The 18,121-nt window shown below is 36.1% G+C and overlaps 1 long non-coding RNA gene and 1 pseudogene across 1 annotated transcript in view; one reads left to right on the top strand and one right to left on the bottom strand.

Moving 5' to 3' along the window:
* RFPL4AP3 (ret finger protein like 4A pseudogene 3) lies at positions 229-561 on the top strand (annotated as a pseudogene).
* The window catches only part of LOC105374524 (uncharacterized), a 507,306-nt gene continuing 499,852 nt past the window's right edge, over positions 10,668-18,121 (bottom strand). Inside the window, exon 19 of the long non-coding RNA XR_007058437.1 lies at positions 10,668-11,498. This is a non-coding gene — a long non-coding RNA (uncharacterized LOC105374524). The remainder of the gene's footprint in view (positions 11,499-18,121) is intronic.

Raw genomic sequence — 18,121 nt, 5'->3', positions numbered from 1 at the left:
TGGAGGTCATTATGTTAGGTGAAATAAGCCAAGCACAAAAAGACAGACTACATGCTCTCATTCATTTGTGGGACCTAAAAATCAAAACAATTGAACCCATGGACACAGAGAATAAAAGGATGGTTACCAGAGGCTGGGAAGGGTAGCGGGGGTATATGGGGGTGGGAGTGAGCTGGGCATGGTTAACGAGTACAAAAAATAGTTAGAAAGAAAGAATAAGTAATAAAGAATTGTACTTTCTTCAGAACTCGGCTTCTGGACTGTGGGTTCCAGCAAAGTAAAGGTCTTTGCTGCCAGCACTATGCCTTTGACTATTTTCTGGGTGAGTCCACACTTGCACAGAGTGGGGATTTTCCTGGATATAGGTATGAGGTTCATTTCTTTTTATGATGTTAGTGATGGGTGCCATATCTACACATTCAACAAAATTTCTGTTAGGGAGCCGCTGCGTCCATTTTTTGCTCATAAACGTGAAACTCAAGATGATCAGAGCTTCCTGAATATCTTTCCTGTAATGGATCCAGACAGTGCCAGTCCCCTAGTTTATTCTGGGGAAAGTAAATAAACATTTGAATATAATCATCAGTAGGAACTTTCTGTGTGCCCATAGCCAGACTAAGAACTTTTCTGCTAGATACACACAAGTACAAAGGGATAGAAGGGAAAGATCAGTCATTTTGTAAACCATGAACACAAAATAAATATATTAATTAGGGTAAAATTATATTTTACATATAAAGTTTGTCATGTTGCTTTCGTCAGGGCTTATGTTTACATTTCTGTTCAATAAACATTTTGAAATTTAAAAAAAAGAATGAATAAGACCTAGTATTTGATAGCACATCAGAGTGATTATGGTCACTAATAATTTCATTGTACATTTAAAAATTACTAAAAGTGTATAATTGGATTGTTTGTAACACAAAGGATAAATGCTTAAGGGGATGGATACCACATTTTCTACGATGTGACTATTGTGCATTACATGCCCATATCAAAATATTTTATGTACCCCGTAAGTATATACACCAACTATGTACCCCCCAAAAATAAAAATAAAGGCCGGGGGCGGTGGCTTACGCCTGTAATCCCAGCACTTTGGGAGGCTGAGGCGGGCGGATCACGAGGTTAGGAGATTGAGACCATTCTGGCTAACACGGTGAAACCCCGTCTCTACTAAAAATACAAAAAAATTACCCGGGCGTGGTGGTGGGTGCCTGTACTCCCAGCTACTTGGGAGGCTGAGGCGGGAGAACAGCGTGAGCCCGGGAGGCAGAGCTTGCAGTGAGCTGAGATAGTGCCACTGCACTCCAGCCTGGGCGACAGAGCGAGACTCCATCTCAAAAAAAGAAATAATAATAATAATAATAAAATTAAAAAATAAAAATAAAAGAAAACTTAAAAAAATGCCCATTCTCTTATTCATGAATTTCTTATAATGTTGTTTTTCCTAATAAGGGCTCTAAGGCCTTTGATGCTGAATGATGTAATCTCAAGTATATCCTTTTAGGGTATTCCATTATGATAAAGGAAACCCAGTGCACTTAATTCAAGCCTAAGCTTTTGTAGTATGTTGCAATTACTGAAACATAAATTTAAGTATCTAGCCTAGTCCTTGGCATATGGCAGGCACTCATTAACTGGTAGTCATCATTATCAACATGATTATTGATTATTAGTCAATGTTACAGTCACTTGGGCAGGCTTCCCCTCTCCCTGTGAGTTCCATGACCACTTCTTAGATCTCCATTACATTCTTTCAAACAGGTCCAGAATTTTTTACTCTGACCTTAGTCCATAAACTAAGGCTTTCCTCTCCTTGCCTATTTTTCTGATGCTGCTGTCATGCTTCTCAGCAAACAACTGCACTGTATTTGTGCTAGAATCTCACTTATTGAGGCTCAGTACATCTGTTGAAAACCCACAGCTACTTTTTGAATCCCTCCCTTAGCAGAATCATTTAAAATTGATATTAGAGATCATTATAATTCTTGAATATTATTGCTGTATCCCCCAGTCTGAAATACTAATACTAGAGTCACTGTATCTGAGCATCTCTAATCTCTAATAGTTAAGAGTCTAGACATTAATTAGAGTCAGACACACAAGTTTTGAACAATGTCTCCTTTATTTATAAGTTCTGAAAACTTGGAAAAATTGTTTAATTCTTAAGCTTCTCTTTCCCCTTCTATAAGATTGCAATCAATAATAGTACCTGACTCCTAGGGCTACTGTAAAGATGAAGTGAGACTAAATGAAATTAAAAGACTATTGGCAAGCCTGTTCTCCTCCCAAGTCTGTCTGCCTACCTGTGACTACCATGTTTTACTTGGTCTTAACCTCTATCCCAAGATTGTGCTACATGTGTCTGGCTCAAGCACTGCCCCTGTGTATTAACTGAAAGCATACATACATTATTCATCTTCTGGGTCTTTGGGAATTGGAGATTGAATAGATGATAATATTTTAAGCACATTTTGAATGCATTCATTTGTATAATCACAGTAGCAAATATTCTTTTAGTAATTCTGTTATTTCCTGGGAAATCTTTCACATGAACTGGACTATTGAGTTTTCAGAAAAAAAAGAAACCAATTTAAAAAATAAAGAACTATAAGTACAATCATTGTTTTAAAGTTTTCTAATTTGACTTCTGCTTCCAAAAGATGAAGTAGACATACTTCCCTCATCATCATGCTAAATACAACTAAGAATAGTGGACATTATATGTAAAACAAACATAAGACATCTTTGAAAGATACAAGAGAAGATGGCTGATTGGCCAAGAATCTTAGGACCTAAAGTATAACATGGTGATCAGTTACCTGGGTTTTCCTTTTGCCTCATATATCCTGACCTAGATCTAATGAAGCCAGTAAACTAAAAACACAAATTTGCACAGATGTCAAAATTTCCAACTAAAGCCCTAGACAAAGAACTAGAAACAGGCAGCCTAGGAAGATGAAAAATTTTTGGAAAAAAAAAGCTGCTCTATTTTAGCTAAAGCTCTCATCCCATCCTACCAGCAAAGGCTGACTAGGGACCCACTCACTCAAGGCTATTACCAAAATCCCAATGCCCCTGCTGGGCTGGTGTTGAAGGTCATGTAGAAAGCCAGGATTGCAATCCCTGCTGGCCAGTAATGAGCTCCTCATTCACCGTGTTAGTGCATGTCATGTGGGAGCCTGGACTTCTACTTGTGCCTGGCAATAATGTTCTCATTCTCTAGTTGGGTGGTGTCAAGGAGACCTAATGTAGAGTGTGATCATTCACCATCACCCAGTGGTGACAAGGGCACCCCCAGTGCTGTCAGTGGAGACAAAATGGGAGTCAAATCCCCTACTTCTGTCTAGGAGTAATGAGGAAACTTACCTAACTTCTATGCCAATGAAGGCTGGGTACCAAGTTGAAATTCTACCTCTATGGTGATGCCTTCCTCTTTCCTTATCAGAGTTATATAAAAGAAAGCCAGCTAAAATAGAAGGTTTAATAAGATTGAAAATTTTGTAACACAAAAATTTCCAGGTGTCTGTTAAAAATAGTTTGTCATACCAAAAAGCAGTAAGATCTCAAACTGAATGAAAAAAAGACAATCAAAGATGGCAACACTGACATAACAGAAATGTTAAAATTTTCTGACAAAGATTATAAAGCAGCTATCATAAAACTGCTTTAATGAGTAATTATGAATACTCTTAAAATAAATTGAAAAGAGAAAGTCTCAATAAAGAAATAAAACTTATAAAATAAGTTTATAACTGAAAAATAAAATTTTTAAAATGAAAAGTACAGTGGAGGAGCTTAGTAGCAATATGGATAGGGCAGATAAAATAATCAGTTGGCTGGAAGATAGAATAATAGAAGCTACCCAATATGAACAACAAAGAAAAGGTAGACTAAAAAAAAATGAGGTAATCCTGAGAAACTGTGTGACTATCATAAATGATCTAACTTTCATGCCATTGGAGTTCCAGAAGAAGATAAGAGGACAAGGCTGAAAAACTATACCAATAAATAATGACTGAAAGCTTCCCAAATTTGTTCAAAAGACTTAAATCTACAGATCAAAGATGAGTGAACACAAAGCAGAAAAAAAAAAAAAGAAATCCATGCAATGATACATTGTAATTAAACTTTTGAAAACTAAGGGCAAAATATCTTGAGAGTGGCCACAGGAAAATGACACATTACCTTTAGAAAAATGGCAATTAGAGTAAAAGCTGTTTATCATAAAAAATGATGGAAGCCAGATGAATCACAGGTTGGAAGAAACTAATTGTCAACCCAGAAATCTATACCCAGCAAAAAAAAAAAAAAAATTCTTCAGGAATGAAGAGGAAGTAAAGATATTCTAAAATGAGAAAAAAAAATAAAATGAATGTGTCTAGTCTCAGACCTATTCTAAATTAATGGTTAGAGGAAGTTTCTTTAAACATTAAGAAACTGTAAAAATAAGAAACCCTTTAAGATCAGGGAAGAGGAGATAATAAGGCAAGAAAAAATGGAAAAATATAATAGCAATTCCTTCTTCTCAAGCTTTCTAATTTTTTTGGTAGTTGAAGCAAAAATTATAACAGTTTATAATGTGGTTATAAATATATGCAGAGGAAATATTTAAGACAACTATATTATAACTAGGGGAGGTCAAAGAGAACTAAAGAGAGATATAATTATTATGATTTTTTGAATAATAAAATAATGTCACCAGTAGACTGTGATAGAACACCATAGACAGGCACATACATGCACACACACACACACACACACACAATGTAATGTCTAGAATAACCACTGCAATAGCTACATAAAGTTTTCTATATAATTTATCTATAATATTTTAATATAAAAAAAGCACTTCTGCTAAATCTCAATAGAATTCTAACAAACTTCGAGTGAATCAGAAAGGCAGGAAAAAGAAAACAAAGAAACAAGAAGCTGAAAGAACAAACAGCAACTAAAAATAAAATTGCAGGCTTAACATATTAATAATTACATTAAATGTAAATGATGTAATTACACGAATTAAAAGACAAAAATTGGCAAAATGGTCCAACTGTTTAAAAAACAGATGTATCGTTCAGACAGTCAAAGGAAATCAGAAGTGGCTATACTAATAACAGAAAAAGTAGTCTTCAGCGTATAAAAAATTACTGGAAAGACAGTAGGATCTATGCACTGATAAAAGTTAAAGCCTACAAAAAAGACAGTAATCTTAAATGTACACACACCAAGCAAAACAACAGAGCGGTAAAATGTGTGAGGCAGAAACTGACAGAACTGACACAAAAAACAGACATTCATTATTATACTTAGAGACCTCAACACCCCTCTCTCAAAAATTTATAGACAAACTAGGCAGAAATTAGCAGGGATATAGAAGAACTCAACAATACCATCAACCAACAGTATTTACTCAATATTTTTAAAGAAGCAACAGCAAAATACACTCATTTTCAAGTGCTTACGAACCACATTCCATGGTAGGTTGTATCCAGGGCCATGAAATAAATCTTGTAAATTTAAACTAACTGAAATTATACAGAAGGTGTTTTCTTACCACAATGGAATTAAATTAGGAATCAATAAGAGAATTATTGCAGAAAGTCTCCAAACATCTGGAAGCTAAATAGTGTATTTGTAAATAATCCATGAGTCAAAAGGTAGTCTCAAGAAAAATTGTAAAAAGGATATTTAATTGAAAGAAAATAAAGCTTATTAAAATATGTTAGACACAGCTAAAGCAGTGCTAAGAAGAATATTTATAGAACCAAATTCAAAAATTAGGTAAAAAAAGCAGTTTCAAATCAATAATTAAAACAACCCTGGCTCCTTCATCAAAAACATACTAAGCAAAACCAGGCAAACAAAAGCCAGAAGCAAAAACAAAACTAAAAGAGCCTTAAAAAGGACAAAATAAACCCAAGTAAACAATGGAAAAGAATAATAAACACAAAAGCAGAAATTAATGAGCTTGAAAATATTAAAACATAGAAAATTTAGTAAAACCAAGAACTAATTATTTGAAAAGATTAATAAAATTGACAAACATCTAGCAAGACTGAGAACAAAAAGTGAAAATATACAAATTACCAATATCAGTAATTTGTTCAGGCTTTTCTATGAGAAAGGCTTATTGGCTTGAGTCACCTTTGGACTAAATTGACTGCATTTAAAAGAAATTTTTCTTTTAAATATTTTAAATTTTAAATATTTAATTTATATAAAATATACATTTTAAATATTTTAAATTTTTCTTTTAAAAGAAATTTTTCTTTCAAATAGCTGTCCGATATGTATCTATAAAAAGTTACAACAGAAATATAATATCTACTTCAAAAAATTCATTAGCAAGATTGAAAAGCAAAAATCAGATTTAAAATAATTTTAATTTTTTTGAACGCTCCAATTGCTTGTTTTGAATTTTCTGTGAGATTTGCTAGAAGATGTTTCAGTCTGTGGTCCAGTGATTAAGATTTGCACGGTCAACGTTTTTGCCTAGGGTCAATACCTGGTCAGGGAACAATTACCTTAGAGACATAAACTTGTTTGGCTCAGGAGAGAAACATTTATGAGAGTTAATTGGAGTTATTTGTAAAAATCTTTTTGAATTTATATTTGTATGACTCTTGAGTCTTTGGGGTACCCATTTGACTAGTAATTGTTTCATTCCCATGAAAATCTTTTGCCTGTTTGTCTTACCAACTCTTCATCTCTTAGTTTTTCATGGATTAGGGGCACGTTGGTTGTCAGGCAGCTCTATGCACATGACTAACTCAAAGGATGGAATCCCTGAGGATATGGCTGGATAGAAATGTGTGTTGTACCCCATCTGTGCCTACTAAAACTTTCCTTCCTTTAAGCTGTCTTGAGGTCTGGATCTTAGAAGGGCTTCAGTTTGTTCTTCTTTGGAGACTGGCTAAAATCACAAAGGGCTTCTGGGCTTTGGTCTTGTATGTGAATATTTGTTTTGATTTATAGGTCATTGTTGATATACTCCTTTGGTTTATATTCAGAGCATGATAGAAACTTTTTTGTTTGTTTGTTTAGCCTTCTCTCCTGAGGTAAAAATGGAACTATGTACTCAGAAACAAAGGAGCCAGTTGAGACAAAAACAGAAATCTTACTCTGGAAGCTCTTTTTGCCCTGTCTTTCTCATCTTTGTTCATTTGATTTTTATGTGGTCTTTCTTAGGAGTGGGTAGGAGAGACCCTTGTGACTAGCCACAGACTGGGCCAGAGAGACAGGCCTCCTGCCTCTGCCCTGAGCCTAATCTCTGAGCAAGTCAGCAGCAGGTTCCTCCCAGGCAGTGGGAAAGATGCTGCCCCATTTACAGCCCACTCCAATCCCTTGGTTCCAGGGGAACACCTGCTGCTTCCAAAGCCCACCCATTCTTACCAACATCCAAAACTCCTTCTAGGTGCAAATTTCAGGGGAAAAAAACTGGTAAATGGAAAAGTTTGCTCTTTGCTTGGCTAAAACTTGATAATAAAATGTTTTAAGTGTTCTATGGTCAAAAGTCGCTTAATTAAAAGCTAAAATCCAGGCTATAATATTTTGTAAAGCCTCTGATTTTTCTCTTTTGAATCCTGTTTCTCCCATTAAACTACTTTTCAGTCAACTGGACTTCTTTTTCTTGAACCTCTACTAACTAGACCTTCATTGGCCTTTTTGTGAAACTTAAGATCTCCTGAAACTGGTTACTTTAAGACCCATTCTTCCATTTACTTCTGCTTCTCCTTCTTTTTGCCACCTTTGTCAGCCCCTACTTCTTTTATTTGAAGATTAATGGCGAAAAAATTACTGAGAGAAAACATCGGATCTTCGGTTATCACATGAAGTGATCTAAAGGAGACTTCTAGTGACCCTGAGACCTATAGAGGCACACAAAAAAATGTGCCACTGACCTCTTTACTGGGGATTTGTGCCTTCCTTATAGAGTCTCAAAGAGACATGGATGGGCTCATCTCAGGTCTGAAATTTTGCTCTTTTTTTGTATTGAGCAACCTAATGTATTTGGCTTTTGGATGCACACGTCTATGTGTGTTGCATATTGTGTGTGCATGTTTATTTCTATACATGAGTTTGTATATTATCTACATGGTGCCAAATTGACATAGAGATAAAATGAGCATGTATGAATTAAATAATTAAGCCCAAATACTTTTCAAAGTTTATTTGACTGAAATAAATCTTTAGGAAATTAGATGAGTTAAAGATTGTTGGTTTAATAGAAACAGATTTATCTTCTAAGTTATCAGCAAAATACCTCAGTAGCTTTTGTTTGGATGGTAACTGCCTGATATACATGTGTTATATAATAATTAACAGAAAAAAAACGAGATGACTAAACTGTGTCTAACGTCTGATAAAAATTTTCAAACATATGGGAAAACTGGATAGCCACATATAGAAGAATGAAACTTGATTGTTCTCTCTCACCATATACAAAAATTAACTCAAGATGGCTTAAAGACTTAAATCTAAGATCTGAAGCCAAAACTATTTAGAAGAAAACCTAGGAAAAACTCTTCTGGACATTGGCCTAGACAAGGAATTCATAACTAAGATCCGAAAAGCAAATGCAACAAAAACAAAAAATACATAAATGGGATTTAATTAAACTAAAAGGCTTCTGTACAACAGTAGAAATAATCATCAGAGTAAACAGAAAACCCACAGAATGGGAAAAAGTATTTGCAAACTATGCATCCAACAAAGGACTAATATCCAGAATCTAAAAGGAACTCAAACAAATAAGCCAGAAAAAAAAAATCTGAAAACAATAATCCCATCAAGAAGTGGGCAAATGACATTAATAATTTCTTCTCCAAAAATATATACAATGGCCAAGAAACATACGAACAAATATTCAACATCACTAGTCATCAGGGAAATGCAAATTAAAACCACAATGAGATACCACCTTGCCCCATCCAGAGTGGCCATCATTAAAATGTCAAAAATCAGTATATGTTGGCATGGATGGTGAATAGGGAATGCCTATATGCTGCTCGTGAGAATGTAATTAGTACAACCTCTATGGAAAACAGTGTGAATATTTCTCAAGTAACTAAAAGCAGATCTACCATTCAATCCAGCAATCCAACTACTGGGTATCTACCACCCCAAAAAAGTCCTTATAAAAAAAATACCTGCATGCGTATGTTTATCACAGCACAATTTACAGTTGGAAGGATATGGAACTACCTAAGTTTCCATCAGCCAAAGTGTAGATAAAGAAAATGTAGGCCGGGCATGGTTGCTCACGCGTGTGATCCCAGCACTTTGGGAGGCCGAGGCAGGCGGATCATGAGGTCAAGAGATTGAGACCATCCTGGCCAACATGGTGAAACCCCGTCTCTACTAAAAATACGAAAATTAGTTGGGCATGGTGGCTTGCGCCTGTAGTTTCAGCTACTTGGGAGCCTGAGGCAGGAGAATCGCTGGAACCCGAGAGGTTGCAGTGAGCCAAGATCGTGCCACTGCACTCCAGCCTGGCGACAGAGTGAGACTCTGTCTCAAAAGAAAGAAAGAAAGAAAGAAAGAAAACGTGGTATATAGACACATAGAATACTACTCAGCTATAAGGAAAGAATGAAATATTGTCTTTTGCAGCAACTTGGATAGAGCTAGAGGCCATTATTCTAAGATAAGTAACTTAGGAATGGAAAACTTACATGTTCACACTTATAAGTGAGAGCTAAGATGTGGGTCTGCAAAGGCATGCAGAGTGGCAGAGTGGACATTGAAGACTCAAAAGTCAGGAGGGTAGGAAGGGGCTGAGGGATTAATAAACTACATATTGGGTATGATGTATAGTACATTGGGTGATTGGTACACGAAAATCTCAGGCTTCACCATTATACAATTCATCCATGTAACCAAATCCACTTTTACCCAAAACCACAGAAATTCAAAATAAATGAAATAAAATAAAGTAAAAAAATTTTCCAAGCATAATTCTTAAGGATTAATAAATCAAATAGATGTAAATGGGATAGAAGTTGATAAATACACTTTTTTCATGGATAATCATACTTATAATATACTTACTTAAAAGATTTCCCAAGTCACTTTAGCAATATACCCCTCTAGTTTTGCTAAGTTAATGACAGATATTCATCACATTTCTAGGTTATTTCTAAGTAATATACGATACTAAAACATTAACAGGAGGTTTAAGTTTATCTGCTTTTGGCTTCTTATTACAAAGAAACAAAATATATTTAGATCTGTTAGTAAATATGTTCTATTCCAATTTTTTTAAAAAAAGTTCCATTAAGAAAGATACATTTTTATAAATTATAAAATGATGTTCGTAAGTCTACAGAATGTTGGTTTACAATTGCTAAAAATTGAAGCTCTAATTAATGTAGTTAATTAAAACTACTAAAAATAAGAAAAACAGTTCTGTACATAGAGCATACAGGGATGTGTTTTTGGTGAGGAAGGTTGCAAGGAATGCATGAAGATATGGATTTTAAGGAAAATTAATTTTGTCTAGTGTAGAGTATGCTTAAATATTGTTTCAAAATGAACAAGTGGAGAAAAATTGTTATAGGCAAAACAAATGAATATAAAAAGTTGGAAAAATAAAAGACAGTAAAAGAAAATCTTATATGGTTAAACGAACTCAAGCTAAATAAATGTATTAAAGGGTTCTAATATTGAGCCTTAATATCAAAAGTACATTGAAACAAAACTGGAATTTGGGTTTCTCTTTCTTTAAAAAAAATTGAGCACTCACTCTCCTGTGATATTTCTTCCTTGCCTGTTAGATCAATTTTGTATGCCTTTTTCTCCTATTAATCTGACTATCGTAAATTCATTTTCACTAAGTCTTCAGAGGGTAAAGGAGAAATTTTCCCTCTTTGATTCTACAACTTGAAGATAAATTCTTACATTAGTGACTCTAAAATTGCAATGAAAGCCTGGGTACTACCCTTAAGCCACAGCAGTGTATTAGAAAGCAGCTAGGTAAAGACAGGACATGTCTATTTTGTCAGGTAATATTATTGTTCAAAATCATTGACACTCATATTTGTAAGCACTTATAGATCCTTGCTTTTGCCTTGTAATTGGCAGTACAGCTGTGTAGATGGCATGAACTTTCCTGTCCTGTTCTTAAATTTGTCTAGTGTAATTTAAGTGAATATGATATAAGCCATTGTTGGAGCAGAAGCTTTAAATAGGATGACATGGTAATCTTGCTTCTGCTTCCTGCTGTGAGAATGGTGCTTTCCAAATAGAGGTTGCTTGTTTAGCCTGGCAGTCTAGCTGAGAAGACTGATAGAGCAGAGCACAATGGGAGCAGACCCTCGGGTGGCCTGAAGCCTACACGCAATATGAACAAGAAACATACCTTTGTTTCATATAACACTGAGATCTTGAGGTAGTTTGTTACTCCAGCAAAGCCACCAAATACACGTACTTACAGGAATGCTAATGGATGTGCATTCACCTACAGGTTTGTGGTTCCATGGCCTTTTATTCTGACTCTGTAAAAATACACAAGTGTGTTGTATATTAATAGAAAAGTTTAATTTACGCACATTTAGTAATTTTATTTTGGTTAGTAATACTGAATAATCTCATAATAAATATAAGCAATTTGAACAGGCTGCCTTTTATTGGTTTGCACATATTATATTAAAGCCAGTGAAGTAAATTTTATGTACTAATTCAGATTTCACAATGCCTTTCAAGAACATTCTATAAATAACTAGAAGAAATACTTTGCTAATATATTTTGAGTTGGTAAGTGGCTGTATTGGTAAAGCCTAATTTCAATCTTTAATTTTAAATGACAGGAACTCAAATCACACCAGCTTAAGCAAATCCTAATAAATAAATATATAAATAAATAAAATATGTCTGTGTGCATGTATGTATATGTGCATGTGTGCGTGTGTTAGAGCAAATATTAATTAGCTTGTGTAACTGAAAAATATAGTTTGAAGCATGACTGGATCCAAGATCTCAAACAATGTCATCAGTGTCCCAGCCCCACTTCTTCCCTTTGTCTTTTTCTTCTCCTTTTTCTTATGTTTATCTTACTCTGATTTATTTCTCTCTATTTCTGAACTATGCCTCCCTTTTTTGGCTCAATTCTTAGAGCTGGCAGTGAGAGTCTCATCAGAAGCCACTGAGACTGTGAGATGAGGTTGTATAAAGAAAAATCAAGGTGCTATTATCAGAAGAGGGATAAATGTTAAGTGGGCAAAAAAAAAAAAAAAAAAAAAAAGAAAAAAATCAATTGTAGGAGTAAATGCCACAAAGCATGCTCAAGACACAGATGTTTGCTAAAGTGTAACAAGAATGAGAAGAGTTAAATACGGAGCATTTGTTTTGCTGAGTGGATGATGCTAATTTGGGGCCAGAGCTGAATTGTTCAGGACAACAAAGTAGAGGAAAGGAAGGCCACCTGATCCTACTGATAGTGTACAGGCTTTTCTGTATACTAAAGGAATGTTACACAACTACTTATTTAAAAATACTAGTTCAAACAGAGGCCATTATCAACTTAAGAGCTTGTTAAGGGAATCTTAAAAATTCCTTTAGCACTATCTGTAGAATTTTGATTTCTATACACATTACATGGCTTTGTTACTCAAGATTTAAGTGGGAAGAATTAAAGAGGTGTCTATCAGAAAATAGCATCATTAGGTTGAAACTTTCTCACACTTTAATTCTTTTGGTAGTACTTTGTGTGCATGACTCAGTACCTTTCTCTTTATTTAAGAAATAAAATCAAATATGTAAAAATATAGACTTTTAAAATACAGTCTCCCAGGTGTCTGTTGCAGCCTCAAGCCCCCTTTTTTTCCTCCATTGTTCTCTTGTTACTTCAAAACAATTAGGTATTCATATGCAAATATATGCAAATGAAAGGGGTTTAATATAAGTGATTTTTACTACTAGTTAATTTCTACTTTTGGGTCTACTGATAAGATCTGGAAAACTGCTTTATTTGGTACCCTTACACCTTGGGGCATAAAAAAAGGATGGTGTGAAAGCCACCTAAATATCTCAAAAATACTGCCATTGTTAAGATTGTACTTCAACTTGAAAAGTGTTTTTGAATTGTTGTCTCCATTGTCTGCCTTGCACTCTCTCAGAGAGAATGTTATGTTGAAGATTACATTATTTGTTACTGAGTAGATTAGTTATTCAGGATCCAGAATGCATCTGAAGTACTGTAATCAATACGGGAATGGTTAGGAATGAAAGAAGTAATCATCAGAAAAAGAAATGGAATTGATTGATTGATTGAACCATAGTTTCAAAGCAATCAGAAAATATTTATTAAATATTTTGAGTGGAGAAAGATGCAATGAATAAATTAAATACATATTTTTGAAGCTTCTGAGAATCACCAGATAATGTGTAAAGTGGAGCGGGTAGTTGAAATCTAGCAATTACGGTTTTTCTTGATGTGACAGGTTAAAGGTGTCTGCTATATCTTTGCTAACCTACCACTGAGGAGGTGAGTCTATTTTCTATCTTCTTGGAGTTGAGTTTGCTTTAAATTATTTGATCAACGAACGCAGTGAAAGTGGTCTTCTGGGACTTCTGAGGCTAGGTCAGAATGAGTCTTGCAGATTACACTCAGCTGAAAGAATACTCATTCTAGGAACTCTACTGCTCTGCCAATGAGGAAGCCCAAGCATCCTGTGAATGGGCCTTTATGGATCACAACCAAGTTACCCTAACAAAAGACTTGGCCAAGTTCTCAGCCAACAGCCAACACCCACTTGCTAGCCATGTGAGGGAGCCATCTTAAAAATGCATCCACTAGTACTAGCCATGCCACCTCAACTAACATCTCAGGGATCAGAAAGGAAACACCCAGCTAAGCATTTCGCCAATTCCTCTTCCACAAAAATCATGATCTAAAGAAACTGCTTTTTTAGCCCACTAAGATTTGAAATAGTTTGTTACATATCAACAGGTAATGGGAACACTGGATATGGATTAAAACAAACACCCAAACAGCTGGCTTTGGGAAAGCAGTGGTATTACATGTAAAACTTCCTTTGCAAAGCTAAATACATGATCTATTCACAGACAGTTTAAACACAGGAAGTGATTACATTCAGTTTGCAATGCTAAAAAGAGCATTTAATTGGTAAGATTCCCTTCCTCACGTTTTAAGTTTAGCTCTTTCAGTCTCTTTTCACCAGTGGAAGGCCTGAAGGAGAGGGAGGAGCACATTGCTGAGGATAAATATCCTGGCCAGGACTCCAATGTCCTCTGCACAACCTACAGATGCCTCAGTGACTAATCTTCATCTGCAGATAATTCAGAAACAGGGCAGATCCCTTGGATTTGAAAATGGGAACTAAAACTCATCCATCTTTTCCTGATGGCTAAACAGGCTATTATTAGCAGGCCAGATGATTTAATAGGCCAGGGATGGAAAGGCGCATGTTGATAATTAAACACTCCAGAGTTCCATTCCAAAGCAAGTGTCCTTTAACAACACGCCTCAGGTTTGTTTGCTTTAAAAGCACTTATCCTCCACTTTCATGTCTCTGGAATATGTACAGGCATCAACCTAAACTTTTCTGATGGATTGAAATGTTGTTTGTCAAACCAATGTGCAATTGTTTGGGTGACATGTTACATGGAATTAACGGTCCTAAATCAGCTTTATAATTTTATAAATGTATAAATCTCAAAAAGAGATGAGACCAGTCTTTCAGCAAATAGAAATCAAGGTCTAATATATTGTGGTAGAGTCATATGAGAAATGTAGCTTAGTGCTGGCTCTGACTAGTGATTGTTTGATCTGGAGCAAGAGCTAGGTACTGAATGTTTGTACCCCGACCCCCACCCCCTCCACCAAAACTAATAATCCCTAATGTGATGGTATTTGAAGGTGGGACTTCTGGGAAAAATTAGATTATGAAGGCAGAGCCCTCATAATGGGATTAGTGCCCGTATAAGAAGACATAGAAGAGAGTTTGCTTGCTTTCTCTCTCTCTCTTGCATGAGGAAACCAGGAAGAGAACCCTCACCAGACACCCAATCTCCTGGCACCCTGATCTTGGGCTTCCCAATCTCCAGCCCTGTGAGAAATAAATGTTGTTCAAGCTGCCCAGTCTATGGTATAGTTTGATCATTTGAAAGATTCTGATTCTAAAGTTCTGTCAAGAACTAGAGTTTGCTTATTCTACAAATTTCATTATCAAGTCAAATCCTTCTCTCAATGATAAATTGAGTTATGGAGTGATTAATAGAGAATGTTTTTCTGCAGGCCTACACAACTATTTTCTCAGCCTTCTTTATTTAACATATTACCTAGCACTCTTTTCAAAAATACTGTTTTATGATAGTTAATATTAACTTTACTCATGACTAATTGTGCCACACACTGTGCTCAAAGTTTTACAAGTGTAATGTGATTATTCCTTCCAATAAATCACTGAGGTCAGACATAATCAGCTTTATTTTATAGATGAGATGATTAGATCTCTGGGAGGCTGCATATCTTGCACAAGAGTGATGGAATTCAAACTCAAATCAAGTTCTGTCTGATGCCAGAATCCCTACTCTTTTGCATATTTGCCCTACAACTATTTATTTAGATGCCTACATGGAGCCTAAAGACTAACAAAAGCTTTTAAAGCAAAAATATTTTAATTATTTATGTAGTTTGACCAGAAGTCATGTAAAATTGAAGGCTACAATGGTGGCAAGCTCATGGAAAAGGGCTATTCTGCTTGGGATGATATTTGTGTTGATCTCGAGTCATTATTTTCCATCCTCACCTTTGAATAGGCTTCAGGGAAGAATTGAACTACAATAGTGCAGGGAAAGAAAATCAAATAGTTTTCAGAAAAAAATACTCTTCCTGCTCTTTGAGGTAAGGCTGCTTGATATTACTCTCCGTGCATTGTGGTATGTATTAGTCTATTCTCACACTACTATAGATAAATACCTGAGACTGGGTAATTTATAAAGAAAAGAGGTTTGATGGGCACATGGTTCTGCATGCTGTACAGGAAGCATGGCAGCATCTGCCTCTGGAGAGGCCTCAGGGAGCCTTTAGTCATGGTGGAAGGCAAAGTGGGAGCAGGTGTCTCACATGGCAGGAACAGGACCAAGAGAGTGGTGGTAGGGAGAGGTGTCACACACTATTAAACAACCAGATCTCATGAGAACTCACTCACTACACAATAGCAAGGGTGGATGGTGCTAAACCATTCATAAGAACTCTGCCCCCATGATCCAATCACCTCGCACTTGGCCTAAACTTCAACATTGGGGATTACAATTTCATATGAGATTTGGTGAGGACACAGATCCAAACTACATCATGGTACTTCCAAGGAAGGGGCTTAATTATTTTAGCTAGAGTTGCCTTCTGAACATTCCTGGCTGTTTTATGTTTCTGAACTTATAAACTCAGATCCCTCTTTAACAATAGACTTCCATTGTTCTGAAAGAGTCACCACTATGACTTTAAGTTAAATGAAAGTAGAATAAATCCATATTCCTTCTTATGAAAGACGCACTGAAACCTGCCTACTTGAGTAGAGCCCAAGCTCAGGCTGAGGGAGACTTGTTGCTTCTCCAGACCCACAACCTACTATGGATTGAACATCTGCATCCCCTAACCCCAAATACATATGTTGAAATCCTTACCACCAAGGTGATGGTATTAGAAAGTGGAGCCTTTGGGAGGTGATTAGGTCATAGGTACAGAATCTTCATGAATGGAATCAGTGCCTGTATAAAGCATGCCCAAGAGAGACCTCTCACAACTTGAACGTGTGGTATCAGGTTCAGTTACAAGGATTTGTACATACTATTTACTGTTTCACTCTGCTGGAACTTTTCTAATTTGCCTTTACCATTTCTAATTTCTAATAATCCATTTCTAATAATCCATTTCTAATAATCCATTTCTAATAATCCAGCAACCACAGAATTGTGGGTATTTTTGAAGAAAATGTGGCTTGTGTATGAACATATCTGAACTACTAAAACCGTGATCGTCCTGAACATTGTTTATACCCTCCTTTGAAAATAAATCTGATTTGCTGCCTTTTTTTTTTTTTAACATAGTTTCAATGCCAACTCTATACCTCATTTTAACTTCATGACCTCTATCAAGATCTTATCTTCAAACAAGGACACATTCTGGCTGGTTAGGATTCCAACACATATTTTCTTTTTTGGCAAGGGTCAGAGGAAATTTCATGTAATTAAATCCATTTTTTTCTTTTTTTTCCTGGGTTGTATTCACCCTCCTACAGAAGCAGAAGTGACTACAGCTCAATGGTTGGAGGGCAATGAGACAAGTGGGGAAAAACCAATTACATGTTACCAAAGTAGTTTAAGTAAAGGCAAAAAGACTAGGAGCTCATTTCCCAACAAACTCCTGCCTTTCACAACAGAAATTTATTTCTAACAGTTCTGAAGCCTGGAAGTCTGAGATCAGGGTGTTGGTATGGTCAGTTTCTGGGGAGGGCTGTCCTCTTAGGTTCTTAGGTTGCAGACAATCCCTTTCTTGGTGTGTGCTCACATGAGCGCTTCCTTATGTGAATACAGAGAAAGAGAGAGAGAACAAGCTCTCTGGTGTCTTTTATAAGGTCACTAATCTCACCATGAGAGTCCCATCCTCATGACCTTATTTAATCCTAATTACCTCCCAAAGGCCCAACCTCCAAACACCATCACACTGGGAGTTAGGGCTTTATCAAATAAATCTGGAGGTTACACATGTTCAGCCCATAACACCAAGAGATGTTCTGATTTATTTTATATAGAGTGGAGCCTGTCTATCTGAACTTTTAGAACTTCATAAGCAGTTGGGACACACAGCTACTTGCTCAGATTATTTTCTTTTCCTTCCTTCCTTCCTTCCTTCCTTCTCCTCCTCCTCTTCCCTCCCTCCCTCCCTCCCTTCCTCCCTTCCTTCCTTCCTCCTCCTCCCTCCTTCCCTCCCTCCCTTCCTTCCTTCTTTCCTTCTCCTTCTTTCCTTCCTTTCTTCCCTCCTTGCTTTCAACAGGGTGTCACTCTCTTACCCAGGCTGGAGTACAGTGGTGCAATCTCGGCTCACTGCAACCTCTGCCTCCTGGGTTCAAGCCTCTTCCCACCTCAGCTAATATTT

Source organism: Homo sapiens, chromosome 4 (assembly GCF_000001405.40).
Source record: "Homo sapiens chromosome 4, GRCh38.p14 Primary Assembly".
In the NCBI taxonomy this organism is placed as follows: domain Eukaryota; kingdom Metazoa; phylum Chordata; class Mammalia; order Primates; family Hominidae; genus Homo; species Homo sapiens.
This window is presented reverse-complemented; position numbering and strand designations above follow the sequence as displayed.